At 34.3% G+C, this 22,839-nt stretch overlaps 1 protein-coding gene across 27 annotated transcripts in view; it reads left to right on the forward strand.

Annotated features, from left to right (window-relative positions):
• The window catches only part of PCNX1 (pecanex 1), a 207,924-nt gene that overhangs the window by 72,723 nt on the left and 112,362 nt on the right, over window positions 1-22,839 (forward strand). For 11 of the 27 annotated variants that reach the window (XR_245673.5, XR_007063992.1, XM_005267420.5 and 8 more), the window contains 2 exons: window positions 8,386-8,518; window positions 15,560-15,744. The exons of 10 other annotated variants lie outside the window; for them this stretch is intronic. Coding sequence is in view for 14 of the 17 variants with exons in the window: in XM_005267420.5 (XP_005267477.1) it covers window positions 8,386-8,518; window positions 15,560-15,744 (318 nt within the window). In the remaining 3 variants the exon portion in view is untranslated. Of the gene's footprint in view, window positions 1-8,385; window positions 8,519-15,559; window positions 15,745-22,839 lie in introns of those variants that run through there. 6 more of the 27 variants (XM_005267421.5, XM_047431121.1, XM_047431122.1 and 3 more) reach the window with 4 other exon arrangements.

The following is a 22,839-nucleotide window of genomic DNA, read 5'->3' on the forward strand; positions in this document are numbered from 1 at the left end:
ATATGTAGTAAATTCATGCGTTTATATTTAAAATGTCATTTCCTTTTCATGGGGACTGTGAGGTGTTCTGTTTTTTAGGAAAAGTTACCTGAAAGGTGTTATTTGCTTCTCGGTGCTGTTCTTTAAGCTATATTAGCCCTTGTTTTTCTAGGCTCTAGCTTTTGTTTTCTTTTGTTTGTACTGCTTTTTTTTAATTTAAATAACTCAATTAAATGTTAATAAGAGATAATGAAATAAAAATATCTGCTTTGGTGGAAGAAATGTAATAGTCTGTGGGCTGTTTAAAAACATTTTTTTGCCTGGGGCAGGCATTGCACAGGCTTTTTTAATTTGAGCTTCATTGGGTTTAGAATACAAATAAGAGCAAAACTAAAGCACTTAAATGTGTTGGGGGTTTTTTAATTGGTTTTTATCATAACTAAATATAGGGGTTTTGTTGGGAGTTTACTTGGGCTTTTTGAAAGGTTGGAGGTGGTAGAAGGGGATTTGTTTTGGTTCTTATTATTTAAAAATTACAGAGACTCTCAAATACTGTTTAAAGATACTTGTTTATGTTAACATTATCTGTTACAGTCCTGTCTGACAATTTAGAAGAAATGTTTCTGGGCTATCCTTCCTTACATACTGTACTACTGAAACCTGTCAACCATCATGTTACTGCTTGGCCATTCATATACCTATGCATAAACCATAGGTAGATTTTATCCTAAAGAATATGAAGGTGTCGATAAGTTCTCCAACGATTTCTTTTCATTTTATTTTAAGGTAGGTGGTGGTGGTAGTGTAGAGAGATGGAATTTAGGAAATAGACTTTAAAGTACTAAAATAAAGTATGCTAAAATAGGAGGTAATCTAGTTTAGTGACATGGAGTCAGATACCTTTGTTAGTATGTGGGCTCCACTGTTGTGACTCTAGGAAAGCTACTTACAAACCTCAGCTTCCTCATCTTAAAATGAGATGATTATAGTATCTATCTCATAGGGTTGTTGTGAGGACTAAGGAGTTAAGTTCCTGGCACACAGTAAATGCTTACTAGTGCTGCTGTGACTGTTCAAGGCCAGTTAGTTATGCTGCACAGTGTAGCCTGTCGTTTAACCTTACTAATTCAGTGGTATAAAATTAAAGTAGAAGAAAGTGATTAAATGTAGAAATAAACTAGAGATAGTCTAAGTGTGCCATTGTGAAACTCAATAGTAAAAATAAAAAATTCTGATTCCCTAGTTTCTTACATAATGCCAATAGGAAAAACATTTTTATTAACATCAATTTAGTGACATGGACCTTATTTTGGCAGTAATATGTCATATAACATCTTTTTTAGTCACGTAACAAGTGATTGTTTTCATACGTCCTGTCATTAGTCAAGTTCTTTGGTTAAAACTGAATTTCATCAATAATGGTTTGTGATTACTGAGACAGGAAATATGTTTTAAGTTCAAACTAAGTCATTTTCTGTTGATCTCTTGTTTTGTACTTAATTTTTCTTTTTAAATTATAAGGCATATCTTTATGACTAATATTTTAAGAAATGAAAACTACATAGAAGCTATATGGTAGAAAAATGTCCTGTGTTTTCTAGCCTGTATTACTTTTAAGGAAGTCGTTTTCTTTTGGACCGTTTAAACTTATTTCCTGTGTGATTCAATACTGTTGTTATAGCATATTTTCTGTGTCACTTAATGGATTACAAAGAATAGCCCGAGTGGAGAGGTTTGTGTTTACTTACTATTCTTTGTGCTTTTTTTCTGAATTGTTTAACTTCTATTTCTCTGTGAAATTTATTTTAAATATAATGTTTGAGTCACTATTCTGTAAGCATGAAATAGGATCCTAATATAATATTGTGTTGGGAACCAAAAATAATCTTCAAAGAAACAATTATTTAAAGAAAAGTCAGATCTTTTCAATAAAAATTTATGAGGGTTTGTGCTATACACATAAATTGAAGGTGTGTTATTTTGTACCCAGATATCATTGAGCATTAGACAGAAGATAAAGACCAGTAAACAGACAATAAAATGCAAATTGTAGCTTTTGTACTTTACTAAATAGAAGGACTCTCAAGTCTAATAAACTTAATTTTCTGATTTCCCAGTTCACATGGAAAGTTAGAAGCAGTAAATTAGTAGAAGGGATGGGTACTTATAGAAGCTGAAGTAATGACAGCAGAAGAAATACACAGCTAACCCTAAAAGAGAAGCTGTAATAACTGTACAAGCCAAAGCAGGAAACCCAGCGGTGTGTGGTCATTAAATGCAGGGACAGACTATCATTTTAATAGTGTTCAAAGACATCATAATAGCATAACTTAATACTGTATTAAAGTATAATGCTATACTCATTGTATATGTGGCTGACCTTGATTTCATTAAGGAAAGATGTTCTTTACTGTGAAAAAAGCTTAGACATATATAAAACTGCACAGAAGAATGCTTATTAAATACAGCAAAATAGGTTTGGCAAAATTATCTTCCTTTACAACAATATCAAGAAAAGTGGTGTTTATTGGTGAAGCAAATAAATGTTTGTATATAGAATTCCCAAAACCAGCCCATGCCAGATTTTTTCAAGTAGGAACAAACATTACAGTGTTTTTCTTTCTCTCAGCAGTGAAGTTCTGGGAATCCAACGGTTACATTTTCATACCACCTCTAATTACTGTCTTAATATTCTGGCAGGCCATTAAATCTGTGCCTCAATTTCCTCAACTGTAAAACAGGAATAATAACCGTCTAGACCTGTCTCACAGTTAACTGTCAGACTCCAATGAGCTTAAACCTAATGACTGTAGAAATGTGAAAATGCTTTATGTATTGTAGGTTCATTATATAAACAAAGACAGTGATGTCTTTCATTTGTAAGGATGTGTCCCCTCTCAAAAATGTCACTTCGAATACATGTGTTCATCACTACTGACCCTTTATTAAGGGACTCTCCTGAAAGTGGATGCAAAATTGTATCTAACGGGTTGATATCTTTCATCCCATTCACAAAGGACTAAAAAGGATTAGAAATCACCTATAAAAGTATAAGTAATACTTAAGCTATATTTGTTTGGCTGGTGGACTTGTGGAAAATATCAGTAAGGATGTGCAAATTATCTTTAACGCAAAGCTCAGCTAATAATTTTTTTTTTTCTTGGGACGGAGTCTCACTCTATTGTCCAGGCTGGAGTGCAGTGGTACAATCACAGCTCACTGCAACCTCCGCCTCCCAGGTTCAAGCGATTCTCCTGCCTCAGCCTCCCGAGTAGCTGGGACTGCAGGTGCCCGCCACGACACCCGGTTAATTTTTGTATTTTTAGTAGAGATGGGGTTTCACCATATTGGCCAGGCTGGTCTCGAACTCCTGACCTTGTGATCCGCCCACCTCGGCCTCCCAAAGTGCTGGGATTACAGGCGTGAGCCACCGTGCCCACCCATAGCTAATAATTTTGTTACTGTTTGCTCTGGTTCCTTGGCTTGTCAAAAAGTAGGCCAGTCCTTTAAAATGTTTTCACAGATGGAAATTATTTTAATTCAGAATTGATGCTTAGAAATTGGGCAGTGTTTGGCTTCCCAGAAAATGACACTTAAAAACATTTATTTATTTACTTATTTTTTGTTATTTCCAACAAGAATGAGCTTGAAAAGCATTTGTTTTTTCATTGGAACAAAATCTTTGTATGTTGATGGTAGCATCGTTCTTGGCTGACAAAGAAACTAAGAAAGGGAAAAACTATTTAGATAAAGTGGATTTCATGCCTAGACTAAAACATTCCTTTTAGAATGTTTTTGCAAAATTACTTGAATGTTTATGTCTTTATATAGTAATTTTGTTGTTGGGTAAAATCCCTTTTATCCTGAACATTACAATGTGTTTCAGAATGTTTGCAGATGCCTTTTCTTTTTCTGAGATATATATATACTTGTTTCATACTTTTGTCATCTTTCTTAAGAATTTAATTTCCTAATAGCATTTTTTCTGATCTTTTTGAAGTACTAAATGCCTATTTTTATTTTCGTGATCTTTCCAGATTTACACCTTTTCCCCCCACGATAAACATTTCTCACTGGAAAGAACACTTGAGCAATTTCCTCTGTCTAAATTTTTATTAATTTAATTGAAATTGAGCTACTGCAAGATGCCAACCATAGCAGTACATGACAACTAGAAAGTGACTTATTACATATTATTTCTTTCATAAATTAATCAGGTATATGATTGACATCATTTTTTTTTTGAGACGGAGTCTCACTCTGTTGCCCAGGCTGTAGTGCAGTGGCACGATCTTGGCTCACTGCAAGCTCCACCTTCTGAGTTCACGCCATTCTCCTGCCTCAGCCTCCCGAGTAGCTGGGATTACAGGCGTCCACCACCACGCCCGGCTAATTTTTTGTATTTTTAGTAGAGACGGGGTTTCACCGTGTTAGCCAGGATGGTCTCAGTCTCCTGACCTTGTGATCCGCCTGGCTCGGCCTCCCAAAGTGCTGGGATTACAGGCGTGAGCCACCGCGACCTGCCGACATCATTTTTAAATAGCATCTTTATCTGTGTGTATTTATACTCACAGCTTCCAATTTTTGAGATAGAATTTGGATAGCCATTACCTCCTACCTCATTAAATTTTGCTCTTTGGGCATCCCAGCTATTCTAAAAGTATATTAGTGCCTTTAATGCTTTCTATGCTTTTATTCACAGAGTAGAACCAACTGATAGTCTATAATTGTAATACTACCATAAAAAATAAATAGTTGCACTAAAATAATTCATTTTAGAATGTGTAGAATTTTCCTTATCTCATTGAGATAAATGTGAAGTAACTCCTGAGGTGGGAGGTATGTATTATGGATTAAACTTCCTTTGTTATCTTCAGGAATGGACCAGATCACAGCTGTCTAAAATGTAAGAGGATATTTTTGGTTTGTCCATGAATTGAACTTAGGCATTTAGTAAATGCTTAAACTTAATTGAGTGATTGCATCAGTATAACAAAAGGAAACAGCTAAATTATCTGAAGGGTCCTCTTATTTTTATTTTATTTATTTTGTTTTTAATTTTATTTTATTTTAGATGGAGTTTCACTCTTGTTGCCTAGGCTGGAGTGCAGTGGCACGATCTTGGCTCACTGCAACCTCCGCCTCTTGGGTTCAAGTGATTCTCCTGCCTCAGCCTCCCGAGTAGCCGAGATTACAGGCGCCTGCCACCACACCCGCTAATTTTTGTATTTTTAGTAGAGACAGGGTTTCATCATGTTGGTCAGGCTGATCTCGAACTCCTGACTTCAGGTGATCCACCCACCTCGGCCTCCCAAAGTGCTGGGATTACAGGCGTGAGCCACTGCGCCAGGCCTGAAGGTTCCTCTTAAACTTATTATGATTGTGAAGTCAGTCTTTTTAACACAAATAAATGATTAGAAAGTTGAGATTTGTACGTTAGAAAAAATACATTTCAAAATATACAACTCTCTGGATATATACCCTTGGAAGTATTTTATACTTCTTGTCATTCACGGTTTTTGAATTGCTTGCATGTTTTTTCTTTTTTACCTACACATGCATAAAGTTTAGTTGTACTAGAGTGCTAATTTTTCACTATCTGCATTTTATGCTCTTACTATTGAATTAATTTCATTCTTCTTTGCCAGAGATACTGGGTTTTAAGCAGTGTCAAAATGTCAACTCCAAAAACAGTTTTTAAAGTATTTTCTCCCTTCTCTCTGATTCCCTAGTTAAAAGATTAAATTTTTTTTTTTTGGTTCACTATTTTTCTTCTATAAAGTTAAACAATTCAAAAAGAGTTTATTACAATTGGATTCTGGAAGGGAATATTTATCAAGTGTGGCTATAACATATGTGACTGTATGTGCTTACAGCAAATTATTTTAAGCTTTAAAGACACATTTTCCCTCTTTGGCTGGAATAGAACTGGACCCCTACTCGACTATTCCAAATAGAGATGTTCTGTAAGTAGCACATTCCCAGGGGCATGGCTTAATCTTACATACTGTGACCATAAATTGTAATATAGCATTTTCACTTGAATGTGTGATACTGTTAAAGCAGTTGCCATAGTCAACATTTTGAAAATTCTTGTAACAGTAGGTGTTTACCCCCTGAATATTATAAGAGACAGCATAGACAGTAATCATAATTCCACTTTAACATTGTTCACTGGATGCCTAAACTTTCCTCTTGATGTGTTTCCAAGACTGTTAAGAAAGTAAGTGCATCATAATATGCAGCTATTTTGCAGATAACAAAATATAAATGGTGTATTACTAGCAAAAAAAATTGTTTTCTTAAGAAACCAAGAAACATTTTGACTAAAAGTGGACACTGTAGTTTGTCTTTTCACCCCAGTACTATGGAATAATTAGCTTTTACTTAAGATTAACACCATTAAGTCTTCAGTAGAAGGAAGATAGTAAAGAAAACCGTCTCATGTTTCTCTTCTTCCTGTTCTGTATGATTACGTACTGCTTTTATCCCAAATCCTTCAGAATAATTTTGGTACATTTTATGGATTAAATTATCTTCTATAAATTATGTCTGGGTAAATTTTACTCTGCTATTTTGGCTGAAACAGTATCTAGAACTAGAAAAAATGTTTGAAAGTTTCTTGATGTAGTTGGATTGACCTGTAAATTGAGCATAGTAGTTTGTTACAAATAATGCTTTATAAATAATAGCATAATAGTTTGTAACAACTGTAGAATAGAAATCTTTAATATAATATTTCACAAAATAATTCTTGAATTGAGTTTTAAAATAGTGATTTAAATTCCATAACCTGAGTTAAACCTTATTGGTGTCTAAGAACTGTTAGCAGGTATACCAATTGTTCATCTGATTTTTCATTTCTTCCCTCAATTGGCTTGTTTTCTTCTCTGCTTTGTTTCATCCTTCATCCATTGATTGCCCTTCCCTAATACATGTTTTCTCCTTTGTGGCAATGCTGATTGCATTTTCATTTCATTGAAGTCATGGTTGTCAGGAATTGGCAAAGTATGTAATGTGCCTTGTAGCTGTGGTCACAAAAAGGCAACCTTATCTTTCTAGATAAGCACTGTTCAATATAACTTTGTGTGATGATGGAAATGTTCTATATCTGCACTGTCCAGTAATGGTAACCACTAGCTACATGTAGCAACGGAGCACTTGAAGTATGATTCATCAATCTCAGGAACTGAATTTTTATTTTTATTTAATTTTAATTTAAGTTTAAATAGCCACATATGGCTAATGGCTACTGCATTGGACAACAGTTGTAGATGACCGGATTTAATCAGCATCTTTTGCTGTCATAGGCCATATATAATTTTTGTATACATGGACTTTTACCCCACAAGTAAAGGAATTTAAAGGAAGTTTCATGTTTGGAAAGAATGTTTCTGTGCTAACTTGTGTTTTTATTCATATTTAGCATCAAAATGCCCTTTCTCAAAAGCAAAATGATTCCCAAATTATTTAGATCACACAGTTGTTTTGTTTTATATTTAAATGGATGAAAATCATTTTACATTTTGCTTTAGAAACCCAAATCGGTCAATTTTTGTGGTTTTGTAAGATCTGTGTAGTTCTACTAAGCCATTGTTGTGATGTTCTCATGTTGTATGCTTGGCTTTAGTACAAACTAAAAAAAGTACAAACAATAAAGTACAAACATTTTTGCTTGTTTGTACTTTATTTTTTGTAGATTAAGCTATGAGTTCCTGTGCTTGCCAATTTGCCAATATTTGCTTCCTAAAGTTGAGAGGACCAGAGCCAGGGGCATGGAGTTGAATAAAGTTTGATGGTAATGAAGTACCTTTAGAGTAAAATATATTCATGCTATGTTGAATTAACACACTGGTTTTGCAGCTTCACAACCAGAGGTTTCATTTAATGCTGCCAAAATTATGGCACAGGGTACTGTGAGATAAACTTACTGCCTTACTCCTTGTCATCAACAGTGAAATATACTGTCTTTGCTGCTTTTACAATACGAATATAAGAAACTAATGTCCTCTTCCCATTAGTGGAAACTAATCAATACTGTGCTTTTAAGGTTGACTTAATTAACGGGGTAATAGAGGAATATGGGACCAAAATAAATGAAACTTTCAGGAAAAGATTTAAACAACAGAGATCTTAAAAATAGGAAATTGAGGTTGAAGAGAAGATGGCAAGGCTAGATAATAAGTCAAAAACATTATTTTTAAAGAAACAATTTTCTTTAAATAAATGACAGATACTTTTTGTGTATTACCTGATATGATAGATTGACAGTATACATGTGAAAACAGTTTGGATTAATAAGTTCACTTTACCCATGAGGGTGGGAAGTCAAGGGAAAGCCAGGCTCAGCTGCTATTTACATCTCTGACCTAGGCTCTTGTTTGACCTAAGTCTGTCTTGATGCAGCAGCACAAGCCAGCGAGGAGGCAGTGTCATTTCGCCGTGAACGCAGCACATTTAGGCGCCAGGCAGTACGGCGCCGGCACAATGCAGGGAGTAACCCTACCCCTCCTACATTGCTCATCGGATCACCCCTAAGGTATGGTATTTTCAATTCCACCAAGTTTAGCATGCATGTAACAACCCTTCTAATCTGTTCCGCCAGTCCCAAGAAAGCATTTGAAGAGCTTTGTTTTTCTTTTCCTTTCTGTTTCTTTCCTATACATTTAAGCCCTTTTTGGCTTTTTCTGCATGTGACCATGAGCCTGTTGCATTATGCATGCTTTATGTTGCACTGTTTAAGTAAAATGATCAGATTGGTTTAGTCAATTTTAAATCACTTGAGGGCAGTTACAGGATGTATATAGTGGGCCTTAGTCAGCTTTCCTTTTTTTTTTTCTCCCACTCCAAATTAATAATCATGCAATATTTTCCCCAATATTTTGACAGTATTTAATATAATATGAACAAATACAAACTGAGTGGTGAGCTTGTTGAGGAATAACAAATAATTCACTTAAACTTGATAAGCCAGTTTGATTGTTTTATTTCACTAAAATATGATATGATTTATTTTATATTGCCTAAAACTTGGTGCCTTTTATAATCATCAGGATCTGGTAAATGACAGAACTAACATACATAATTTATGTAAAGTGTGGTCAATTGGAGAGAGATATATATTTATATATATTTATTAAATTTTTCAAGCTCTGTATTGTGGTAAACAAAAACATCATTACTTTTTCCAGTAGTCCTAAGTAAGAAAGCATCCATTCATAACATTGTGGATAATTTTTCATTAAAATTCCAGTAACTACTTTATTCTTAATTACATCAAATCTGCTGAATCTATGCCCTGAATTAGAAATATAAAAATCTATCCAAAAGACTTGGGCTTTAATTTATTTTAAGAATACAAAAACAGATATAAATTTTTTTTTTTTTTTTTTTTTGAGACACTCTGTTGCCCAGGCAGGAGTGCAGTCGCGTGATCTTGGCTCACTGCAACCTCCGCCTCCCAAGTTCAAGTGATTCTCCTGGCTCAGCCTCCCGAGGAGCTGGGATTACAGGTGCATACCACCCTGCCTGGCTAATTTTTATATTATTGTAGAGACAGGGTTTTTTTGCCTTGTTGGCCAGGCTGGTCTTGAACTCCTGACCTCAAGTAATCTGCCTGCCTTGGCCTCGCAAAGTGCTGGAATTAGGGGCATGAGCCACTGCGTTCTGCCCCAAAAATGGATATACATACTTTACATATGCCTGCTTAAGCAGTGCATATATTATACAAAATACTTTCATTAGCCTCTGTGTCCCAAAAGTACCATTTTACAAATTATTTTCTAGCTACATTTTAATTTCAAATTCAAAAGGAAGAACATTTGATGAAATAACTGCTGTTAAGTGCATGGTAGGTTGGAACAGATAAACCCCTTCTCTTGTTAAAACCTTGTTCTCAAAACAAGCAAAATCCTTGTTTCTTTAAAATATTTTATTTCATACTCCCCTGAGATTTAAGACTTGCTTGTTTTCCTAGATTTTACAGTCAAGAACTTTGTCTTTAACGAGGCACCTCTGGAATATCTCGGAATGTGCTGTGATTCTGGGGGCTGCCCAGTTCACAAATTGTTCATTGCTCAATTAAAACTCTTTTAAATTAAAAAAAAATAATAATAAAAAGGCTGGGCGCTGTGGCTCATGCCTGTAATCCCAGCACTTTGGGAGGCTGAGGTGGGCGGATCACCTGAGGTCAAGAGTTTTGAGACTAGCCAACATGGTGAAACCTCGTCTCTACTAAAAATAAAAAAAAAAAAATTAGCTGGGCCTGGTGGTACGCACCTGTAGTCCCAGCTACTCAGGGTGGCTGAGGCAGGAGAATTGCCTGAACCCAGGAGGTGGAGGTTGCAGTGAGCCAAGATTGCGTCACTGCACTCCAGCCTAGGTGACAGAGGGAGACTCCATCTCAAAAAAAAAAAAGAACTTCGTCTTTCATAGATCATGTTCCTAATTAATTCTTCAGTAAGTCAAAATTCTATAAAAAGTAATATGGATTAATTAAACCAATATTTAAAATAGAAAAATGAGAAGACAATCAATTTAACAGAAACACTTGTTCTAGAAACCTTTTCTGAGCCCTTTGTTTTTGTGAGCCTTCCTGTTCTTTTTCCTTTCTACTTTGCCTTTTCCTGCCTGAAGTAACTTTTCTTTCTGCTGATGGATTTGGAGCATAGTCTCAACATGTAGAAAGAGCTCAGCGTTTTATTTTACTTTTTCTATTTTGTTTCTAACCTCTTCTTTTTGCCCCTTGAATAATACTTGCCAAAGGCAACTTTTTTGCTTTCTTACTCCATGTTTATATAAAACTTTTTTTTTTAACTTTTGCTTTTCAGTTTTTAAAAATTATTTCATTCTTTGCCACTAATGAGCCTGCTGGATACCACTTAGCAAACATATGCAGACAAATTAGTTTTTTGTCCTCTACTAGGTGGAATATTAAAGAGCTGTGTTCTAATGTTCTAACTCCAGCCAATCACATACAATTTTCCCATGTTTTTCTAGGGTTTGGAATACATTACCATTCAAATGAGGATGTTGTGTACTACCTTTTTTTTTTTTTTTTTTTGAGACGGAGTCTCGCTCTGTCACCCAGGCTGGAGTGCAGTGGCGCGATCTCGGCTCACTGCAACCTCCGCCTCCTGGGTTCAAGCCATTCTCCTGGCTCAGCCTCCTGAGTAGCTGGGATTACAGGTGCCCGCCACCATGCCCAGCTAATTTTTTGGATTTTTAGCAGAGATGGGGTTTCACTATGCTGGCCAGGCTGGTCTTGAACTCCTGACCTCGTGATCCACCCGCCTTGGCCTTTCAAAGTGCCGGGATTACAGGCATGAGCCACTGCGCCCAGCCCCTACTACTTATTTTTAAAGGGTTCACATTATAGTTTTTGAAAAGTAGTCTTCTAATAATCAGCTTGTAGTTTTTGTTGAGGTTCCAGGATATTCCTAGTACAAAGGTTGCATATATCTTAAATAAGCTGATTTCATCATGGGTAAAGTAAAATAAAATTTATCTGTGGGGAATTAGGGAGAAACACCAATTTATTCATCTTCTGTAACTGTAAAAAAATTCAGGTAAAGTATATTGGTGTTATTCCTCAGTGTGAGTTACAGAATAGTAATCTCGTCTTTAAATAAGTATAGGATGATATGGTCATTTAAAATTTGGAAAAATTATCTAAAAGAAATGGTAGATGTGGCAACACTTTCATTACAAGTGCTATATAAATACTAGTAAATATACTAATTTATTTTAAACTTTAATGAATATGTAAGTGACCACCCAAAAGGCAACTTGGTAAAATATATGTCCCCAAGGATTGGGAGTGAATTATCAATTTTCTTACAAAGAGAATTTGCATTTATTTTATAATGCTTATAAGAATATACTGTTTCAGAATTATTTTTTAAAGTTTTATTTAAAAAATTGTGCGCTTTATAGGTGGGTTTTGTTGGCCTTTGCTAATTCTTCCCAGTTAGTAGGCCTAAAAAAGACAAATATTTAAAATATTTATAATACAAATATTAAGAGTTCTGCATTTATCATCCTAAATGTGTTATCTTTTTAATTCTAGTTAATTGCCTGGAATGGAATGAAATCATCAGTGCATTTCAGGGAAGGGGAAAAACGCTTTAGTGTATTCTTAAAATTTATTTTTTAAAATACAAGATTAAAAAATCTGTAATACAATAAGGTCATAGTAATAACTGAGAATTCATGATTAGGAATTCATAGGGGTCCCTTTGTGGTGCTCAGAAATGAATCCACCAACTATTTTTTTTGGTACTTTATTCAAAACACTCTTCTGGGTTTTTCTAGAATATAGAGACATATAAGAATAATGTAATCATACTCTTAGACTTTACATTTTAGTTGGAGAGACACATAGAAAGGTAACTAGCAGTATAACAGAATGTGTCAAGTGCCAATTAAGTGATACAGAAGGAAAGACGAAGACCAACTATTTTTCAGTCATTCATAGTAGAAAAGTTAACAATTAAGATTGCATGTCAGTGGTGCTAGTGATAGCTGATAGTTTTAGACCTAAATTTCTACCTTTTCTTTTGCAGTGTTATAAAATAGTTGCTACCCTTACTCAAACTGGTAGTTTTGACATAGAAGCGTAAAAAAAGATTTATTTGTACCATTATTAGTTTAGGATAAAGTGCAGCCCTCCAGGAATATGTTTTCTAACAAGTTATGTGAAAATAATGGACTTTTTTATTTCTGTTAGAGGATTGTGACAATAGGAATTCAAGAGACATCAGCATTTATTTGTTATTTCCTCTTCCGAACCATATTCCAGTCTCATTTACATGGATCCATCATTTTAGAAAATCTTTAAAATAATTGGGAAACTAGTAATTTCTCAAAAGATATTAGGCCTAAGTTTGATACAATTTTTAAATATTTGGTATTTTGAGATTAAAATTTATTTATTAGAAATTTTAATAAAAATTATCTAAATTAATTTTTTTTTTTTTTGAGACAGAGTCTTGCTCTGTTGCCCAGGCTGGAGTGCAGTGGCACGATCTCGGCTCACTGCAAGCTCCGCCTCCCGGGTTCACGCCATTCTCCTGCCTCAGCCTCCCTAGTAGCTGGGATTACAGGCGCCCGCCACCATGCCCGGCTAATTTTTTTTTTTTTGTATGTTTAGTAGAGACGGGGTTTCACCGTGTTAAGCCAGGATGGTCTCGATCTCCTGACCTTGTGATCCACCCGCCTTGGCCTCCCAAAGTGCTGGAATCACAGGTGTGAGCCACCGTGCCTGGCCAAATTGTCTAAATTAATTTAATAAAAATTAAATTGATAGTCAAAACCCTGATGTTTATAATCACATGGATTCTGGCTAATTTTATTTATTTATTTTTAATTCTGGTGTTGATTTTTATGCATTGTCTAATATCTTAAAAACCTTTTTGTATATTGGATATACATTGTGCATCTCTGTGTTGAAGATGAGCATATACTCAAATGCGTTCATGCCAAAATACATCTAGCTGCCATATGGCAACTTGGCTTATGATGTCAAGTGAAAAAAAATCGATAGAAAAATTTGTTGAGTACGTATTTTGTAAAATTCTGTGTCTTCTGAATCGGAAGGGACACAGGGACGTGGTACCTGAACTACTACTTAAACATTTTTTTCTCAGTATTTTCTTCCTTGTGAAATTTGTCCTTTTTGGTAAGGTTTGTGGATAAGTTTAGATAGATTCTGAGGAAGAGTAACAAATTATGTATGTATGGAAGATGAAAACCTTATCTGATTATATTAGTTCCCAAGATTTATCTGTTGATTTATATCTATTCTACAAATATTCCAGTCTGAAGAAATTATTAAATAAATACTTTTATCATTATGGCTTAAAAAATAATGCCAGTAAGGACTGACAAGTCCACATTTGTAGACTTAGTTTTTTCATATGTTGTGTGCATTCCTATCCTCTGCCTGGAATGTGTACTTTTCATTGGTGAAATGAAGTAGTGCAGGTTAATAGGACTTCCTGGGATGATGGAAATATTCTATAATCTGCCCTGTTCTATATGGTAGACACTAACTACTCACTACTGCCTGCTTTGGTAGCTATTAGCTCTGGTAGCACTAGGTATGTTATGTAGTTACTGAGCATTTGAAATATTAGCAGGACCAAGGAACTTAAGTTTTAATTTGGATAGTCACAGGCTACTGTATCAGACAGCATAGTTCCAGAATATATTCTATTATCATAACCACAGGCTTAAGATATATATATATATATATATATATATATATATATGTATGTATGTATGTTTCAACATAGCCTTTTATTTCATGGTCATTCTGCAATACATGAGTTTGTTTTATGTGTACTAGAGAAACAATTACATTGAATTCAAAGGATTAGAGAGATGTTGATACTCATGAAAAATGATAAAGTAACTGAATAAGGCCATTCTAAGTAGGATTCTTTTATTCATTCTAGAGGTCTAATAATTTTAGTTGCAGACTCTGGGATTGTTAAAGGTAAACTTCAATCGACAGATTGCAGAGTTGCATTGAACATCATGTAGAGAATAATAATTATACTCAAAACATTTTTTCATGAGTTTTGTCAGTTTAAATTTGACTAAATATTATACTGAGAACATTAAAATTCATAGTATCATAAAAATATGAAAGTATAAAATAAGTTAATATAGTCTCTTAATTTGGATAATTTGTATTAAAATTTCTAATAAATAATTTTAATCTCAAAATACCAAGTATTTAAAAATTGTATCAAACTTAGGCCTAATATCCTTTGAGAAATTACTAGTTTCCCAATTATTTTAAAGATTTTCTAAAATGATGGATCCATGTAAATGAGACTGGAATATGGTTTGGAAGAAGAAATAACAAAATTTGTTATGGGAACGTAACTAATACTTGTATATAAAGCACGTGGCCTTATTTCAGAAAGATGTAAGCTTTTTATAGATAACACTTTATATTAAGTCTACCTCTGACTATATTCCATGGCAATTTGTATTTCATTGGTTGAGTCAGTTATTCTGGTTTTCTTGCTAGTTTGTGATTCTTTTTGATTCAAGATTGTTATTTTGGTTGCATTTGATAAGATTATTTGGTTTTCAAGTGCATATAAACTTGTTTTATTGTGAGTTTGAGATCTCAGAATATTTGAAAGAACAATTCTAGAGTTATTACAAGGCTATAAATGAAAGTGCATATTTAACTGAAACATAGGGCTTATCTGTTGGGGCCAGCTGCAGCACACATATATTGAATGTACTTATGATTCTTTTTTGCTGCTTTCTTTTTCCTCACACTAGAATTTAGTTGGCTTGAGGTGGAAAAAAGTCGCAGATTGACCAATTTACATGTACATTTAATGTTGACTGCATTTGTCTCTTCAAATCAAATTTGTAAGGACCAGAAGATTTAAGTTGGCAATGTAATCTGTATATTTTGCAAAGTTTGTTGGCGCTTTCTTAGGTTATGTTGAAAAAAAGTGCCTTTTTGAAATCAGTTTTCTATGTTGACTTCATTCTAGGTATTGTTTTCTCTTTTCTTCCCTGTAATGTCTCCCCAATCCATGTTTTTTCCTAGCCTTCAAGATGGTCAGCAAGGCCAGCAGTCCACAGCCCAGGTCAAAGTCCAGTCCCGCCCCCCTTCCCAGGCTGCAGTGCTCAGTGCTAGTGCCTCCTTGCTGGTGAGAAATGGGAGTGTCCACTTAGAAGCATCACATGACAATGCATCTGCTGTAGGCGGTAGCAGTTTGCACGATGAACTTGGTATGCAGGCCTTATGTAATCTTGATGATACAAAAACTTTAATGCAGCAGATGATGGGTAACAATTGCAGTTCTTTTTTGAGATAGTTTCATTTTGGAACTATGCATAGGAGCACTTTTTACATAGGATTTACCCTATGTGTTAGGAAAATGTGACTTTTTGCTTTTTCCTTTTCTGTTTCTCTCTACTCTTATTCTGCATTTTCTTTTGGTCATGTCCATTTTTAATAGGTAGTTAAAGTGTTAATATATGTTCACACTCAATTCTGTTTTTCCCAGGCATTTGTACCATGTAGGAGAAAACGTTGACTTTTTTAAAAAAAAAGTTTCTTACTAAACTTTAATTTCTTTGAATATTTTGAATGTGCTTTAGGAAAGGGAAAAGTGCTTTCTAATTGTCTGCCACTATAGAATCTTTCTTTAAGATATTCTATATTTCACACTATGTTCGTCATCTGTAGTAGGTTTTATTTTAATTCAAAATACAGTACTCTAAGGACATCATGGCTCCGTACTAATGTCACATAATAACTTTATAAAGTTTATTTCTTGTTCTTGTCAATATATCTATAAACATATAAATTATTGAATAATTAATTCTCAGAAGTGTGATATCATTAAACATCAGTGATACATACCTACTCAGATATCTGTCTTATGCATTATTTAAGGGTGATACTTTATGTTACTTTGGTTTCTGTGTCTCTGTATAATCTAGCTGTCTTGTTCTCAGAATGCAGGTTAGTAATGGTTTAAGTAAATATAATGAAGAAAATCTAGTTATTCAGAAATAATTCACTTGAAAGCATTTACTCATTGTGATTTTGTTTATTCATGTTATAATTGCTTTTTACTTATAAACATGATAATCCAGTTACTGTTTCAACTGGAAGGATATGAGGTATAAGTTGCCCAAATTAGGATTTAATAAAATTTTATATGCTACCTATTCATTGACTCTTTTTTCTATTTTGTAAAAATGCTGAGTTGTAGAGAGGTATTAAGTACGTATGCATATCGATGAAAAGTGTCATGTTCAGATCTCACAGACACTTGAAAATGGTAATCTAAGATATTTATAACATTAGAATGTATGGTGATTTCTAAATAAAATGAGAAAGCAATAAAACATTTTAAATTTGGAATGCTTTTGCTTTTGAGTTTGTAATTTGTAGAGGCAAGAATATTTATAAGGAGGCTGCTTGAGGGAGAATGAGGTAGACTCCAGTTTAGCTACTTGTTTTAGTTGTAAGCAATACTTCTTCAGTTGTAAATATATTCAGTTATGTAATAACTTTATATTGCTATTTCTCTTTGCTCAACCCAAAGGATTTTTGTGAATCTGCAGATATAAAATTACAGTTACCATCTCATTGTTCATTGGCTTTATAGTAGTAGATCAGCTAAAATAAAAGGCTTCATTTTAATCCCTTTCAGAGTTTTAGACTTAGATCAAGCATAAAATGAAACAGTAGATGATTGTCCTCCATAAGAATTCTTAGTTTGCTCAAAAAATTTGTTAAGCAAGCTTTAATGATAAAGTCTCATTCTAAATCCACATGCCAATTATTGAAAATACTTACATATGAACTGCCTTTCCAGTTCTGAAGATTGAAAAAACCTCTTCTGATTGGAGACGACTTTAGCATCTGTTGGTGGATATTCAGGATATTCTCTTGTAATTTGGATTTTATCTTTTCTGTTAACTGCCACCTTAAACTAGGTCTCGCTCTATCGTATTTGAATGGTGCCAAATTGAATACTTAGTAATAATTAGCACAAAACAATCAATGGAGTGTATACCTGTTCCAATGCCTATAAAGTTGGCCAAAAAAGATTCTGAAAATGAACTGCAACTGAACTTAAAGGAATTGGTAGAGAAGCTAGAATAGTTTTGTTGTGTGGTTTAATTTTCTACTTGATTTTAATTAGCAGTGAATTATGTGAATGAAAATACGTGAATGAATTTGGGTACTTTATACTCAAATATATTAAAGTTAGCTATGATATTCCCTAAAAGTGGAGTATTTACACAGGATTGCTTCCTTCCAAATTTAGCTTCCTCTATTAAAAATTTTTAACCAGTTTTTACATGTGAAGGTATATGCATATGCATAATTTGTTTATATAAAGCATACATACACACATACATGTTTGAGTGCATATGTTTGTGTATGTACATGTACGTATGCTGTTTTGCATTAAAAAAAAACTCTGAATCAGACATTGTTTAATTCTAAGCCTAGATAGTTTTCCTAAACTGTGTTTTCTACATCTTTATTTTGTGGTGTCACAATAGGTAACCATATTCATTTCCTATACTAAACCCCGAGAATCCTTATTTCTCTGGCATTTTAAGGTTACCAGAGAACATCAGACATCATGGAAAAATTCACTAAAAATAGTATTATGAGGATTTTATTAGTAGCTTATTAAACAGAGGAAAAAGTACTTGTATCATCTGTATTCAGCAAGCAAAATTGTTAATCATGATTAATTTTAGAATTTGAATTATAAGTGGCTTAATTTAAAAGGAAAAACTTAGGCTGGGCTCGGTGGCTCATGCCTGTACTCCCAGTACTTTGGGAGGCCAAGACGGGCAGATCACTTGAGGTCAGTAGTTCTAGAGCAGCCTGGCCAAAATGGTGAATCCCCATCTCTACTAAAAATACAAAAAATAGCCTGGCATGGTGGCACGTGCCTGTAATCCCAGTTACTCAAAAGGCTAAGTCACAAGAATTGCTTGAATCTGGGAGGCGGAGGTTGCAGTGAACCAAGATTGCGCCGCTGTACTCCAGCCTGGGTGACAGAGTGAGACCCTATCTCAAAAAAAAAAAAAAAAAAAAAAGAAAAACTGACATAGTTTTCTTTCCTATTTATAGCTTTCATTTCCATGTGTACCTAATTAAAAAGAAATTGGGTTCAAATGACTTAAGTGTTGGATGAGTTTTGGAAGTTAATATCTTTGGAAATGATATTTCTATCAGAATTTCTCAAATTCTTCAATGTAATATGTTGCTCTTTATTTTAAAGACCACATATTAAGGGTTAATTTTCTTCTGATTGGTCTTTTGTTGGAATTGCTATTTGTTGTTGATTTTATACTGTTTTCTGAATTAAACTACAAAAATTCTAAATAAAACAAGCTGTGACTTAGTAATGCCCAGATTAAGTCACACAAGAGACTGAATCAGGTAGCCTTAAAGTTCTGTTTTATATCTGCTAATCTTTTCTATAGAATTTGGCACTTCTCAGTTACTAATCCTAGTTTTCTCTTATAAATTAAGACTAATAAGTTGATGCAGTGATGAAACTTGCCATTATAGCTGGTAGTTACACTCTTAATTTGTAACACAACATCTCAAACAAAATGTTCTAGATGAGATCAGATAGAACAGGAAACATTGCCTGTGGTTTTTTCTGTGTATGAAATTAGTGGTTGGGGTGAGGAAATGCTTTGAAAGTGTATATGAAGCTATTATTTTGTCTTTATGTGAAAAATTTAAAAATTACTGTTACAATGTTGACAAGAAATGAGGACAAGAGTTCTATATTTATCAAGACGTAATTACAAAGCATGTATATATCATGAGTAGTATTTCTCTGATTAAGACTTTCTTAATGTATCTGATTTTTAAAAAGTGATGCTTGAATTGATTTTCCTTAGGTTTTCTTTTGTTTTATTACTGTGTAAGGATTGACAAAGGAGGTATTCTTTGAGGTAATCTGCTTTATTCTAGAGCTTGTTAACTTGAAAATGTAGTTGGCTGTAGGAGAATTATTGAAGGAAACCTGGCAACATTGCTCTTCCTATTAAGCAGTTCATAGCAGAAATATAATTTGGAAGCTTTTAGATTTTCTACTTTAAAAAGCAGAGACTCAGGTGATCAACAGTACTTTTAGTGACTTTTATTAGAGTTAGTCTTGGTGTTTTAAAAAAGATTGTATATACTACTCTAGCATTTTGGGCTATTAGTACTTGTCCTTGTTACTATTAACACAGAGTCAGAGGACTGTAAGGGATCTTAGAGTTAATATGTCAGTTCCTTATGTTATGGTAGATTATTTTCATTCATCTGAACAAAAAAGTTACATCCTTTTGCAGCAACCTTGATTTTGTCCTTTATTATTGTTTTGAGTACAAAAAAATAATAAATTCTATTCTTTGATCATTTTTGGGGGGTGAGGGGCAACAAAGTATATATAAATGAAAGTAAAATGTTTATTTTTATCAAAACAATAAAAATACTTCATTATATTTCAAAAGAAGAAGTATTAAGAGGTTTAAGGGCTATATTCTACTTCGTTTTGGTAAAAGTAGAATGTGCTTTTCCCATCCTTACAACAGAAATACAAGTTGACAAATACTGGAAAATACCATGAAGAAAATTAAGTCATCTACAATCTCATCACTAAGAGATATCCACTATTAGTATGTTGTAATTTATTCCTTCCAGTCTTTTAAAATGTACATGTGTATATGCACTTAAAAAAATAGAGTTAGGATCATGTCGTGACTTTTGTGCTACTGTTTGAGTTTTGTATCTTGCTTTTTTCACTTAGCAGTCTGAACATTTACTCATGTTATTAGCTGTCCCTTGATTTTTTTTTTTTTTTTTTTTGACGGAGTCTCACTTTGTCGCCCAGGCTGGAGTGCAGTGGTGCAATCTTGGCTCACTGCAACCTCCGCCTCCTGGGTTCAAGCGATTTTGCTGCCTTAGCCTCCCGAGTAGCTGGGATTATAGGCATGTGCCACCATGCCTGGCTAATTTTGTATTTTTAGTAGAGATGGGGTTTTGCCATGTTGGCCAGGCTGGTCTCGAGCTCCTGACCTCAGGTGATCCACCCACCTCGGCCTCCCAAAGTGCTGGGATTATAGGCATGAGCCACCATGCCCGGCCTCTTTGATTTGTTTTTAAGTGGCTGCATAATGTTTTGTCACTTAGATGTATGTGAAAGGCAGTACAATATAGTGGACTCTGGAGCCAAACTTCTTGGCTTCAAATCTTTGCTCTACCAGTTATTAACTATGCGATCTTGGGAAAGTTATTGTCTTGTCTTAAGCCTCAGTTTCCTCAGTTATCAAAGGATGGCAAAAATAATGGCTACTTCATAGGTTTATTGTCAGGATTATATTTATTAAGCATACAATTAGAACAGTGCTCGACAATTGTAAACTTGTTATATAATCATCTTTGTCATTATTGATAAAATATTATATCATTATTTAATCAATTAACCCCATTGTTAGTCTTCACACTGTTTCCTGATATTTCCTATTGCAGTGAACACTGTGCTGAATGTCCATTACATAAGCTTTAGTGTACAGCAGCTGTGATTTTTTTCTTAGGGTAAATAATGTTGAAATGGAATTATCGGTCAAGGGGAATATACATTTTTGGGGCTTTGATATATACTGTTAATGGCTTTATGGAAAGCTCTAGTTTATACTTTATCTGGTAGAGTTTGGGAGGATCGCCACAAATATTACAAGTTAAAAGTAAATCTAGATGAATTTTATCTACTCTTATTTTCATCCCCTGGATAATGCTCAGAAGTTTATCACTGTTATTGTAGGAAGACTACTAGAATATTATTTCAAATAGTTTTGGGTGCCTGAACAGCTCTAGGAATTTTACGGAAACTTACAGGGACAGGTTGAGATATTTAATTTGTCTCTTGCTAGTATGTTGTAAAGAATTCATTGAATCACTAGACTAGATTATCTGCTTTCTAACATTAATCATTCTTAAGATTCTAAATTAAAGCTGGTTAGTATATGCATTAGTTGGAATATATGCTAGATTCTTTAAAGGAGAGACCCTTCCAAAATCATTGAAATGAAAGAGAAGTTTCTATTTCTCTCATGAGAACCATTGGGAGTCTAATGGGATCTATTTCTGTCATGATGGATGAATGATGTTATCTTTCACATGTGGCTTTCTTGCCTTGTCCTAAGTGCCTGCTGTAGTCGTTGACATTTTCCAGCAAACAGGAATGAGGAGAAAAGGTCAAGGACATCTAGCCTTTATCTTCCTGATTCAGATTTGGAAAACATGCCTTTCGTTTTCTCCCACCTTTCATTGGCCATACATAATCATGTGACAACTTCTCGTCGTGGGAGAGGCTGAAAAATGTCTCTAACTAGGTGGACAGAAGCCCAGCAGAAATTCAGTGAGGGGAAGATTCCGTTCAGAGGAACACAGAAAATACTCTTGGCAGTGGCTGTCTTTGGGTAGTAATGAACTTTCTTCTTATATACTACTTTTTAATTTTCTGATGAGTAATAATTTTTAAATGGAACCATGAAACAGAACGGCAAATACCAATGTAATTCCCCCAAATCTTAGTATCTGGTAGGAATTTCACTGACTGTTTGCTGCTACATGCTCATCAGACTCTTACCTGGTCAGTCTTTATTTTCTTGTTTCTTCATCAATTTTATGGATATATAATTTAGGCACAATAAATGGCATCTGTTAAATGTATACAATTCAAGGAGTTTTAACAGATGTGTATACCCGTCAGATACCTTAATCAAGATGCGAGTGTTTCTGTCACCTTCAAAAAATTCTCTGTGCCTTGTTGCAGTCCATCTCTCTGCTGCCTCTGGTCATAGACAACCACTAATCTGCTTTCTATCATTATGATTTCCCTCTTCTAGCAGTTGATATAAATGGAGTCATATAGTATACAGCCTTTTGTATGTACTTTTCCTGTAGTGTAATGCTTTTTGAGATTTCATCATACTGCTTGCATGTGTGAGTAGTTTGTTCTTTCTTACTGCTGAGAATTCCATTGTATGAGCAGGCTGTATATTGCTTATCTGTTCACCTGGCGATGGTTGTGTTGTTTCCCGTTTTTGGCTGTTGTGAATAAAATTTCTGAACTGTCTTTTTGAAAAGAGTTCTACATCCCCACCACCAAATTCCAGTAGTTCCCTTTCTTGCCAACATTTGCTTTTGTTGGCCTTTAGAATTGTAGACATAATGGGTATAGAATGGTAACTCATTGTGGTTTAAATTTGAATTTCTCTTATGACTAAAGATAGTAAGCATCTTTTGATGTGCTTATTGGCCACATACATATATATCTT

This window comes from Homo sapiens, chromosome 14 (assembly GCF_000001405.40).
Source record: "Homo sapiens chromosome 14, GRCh38.p14 Primary Assembly".
Taxonomy (NCBI): domain Eukaryota; kingdom Metazoa; phylum Chordata; class Mammalia; order Primates; family Hominidae; genus Homo; species Homo sapiens.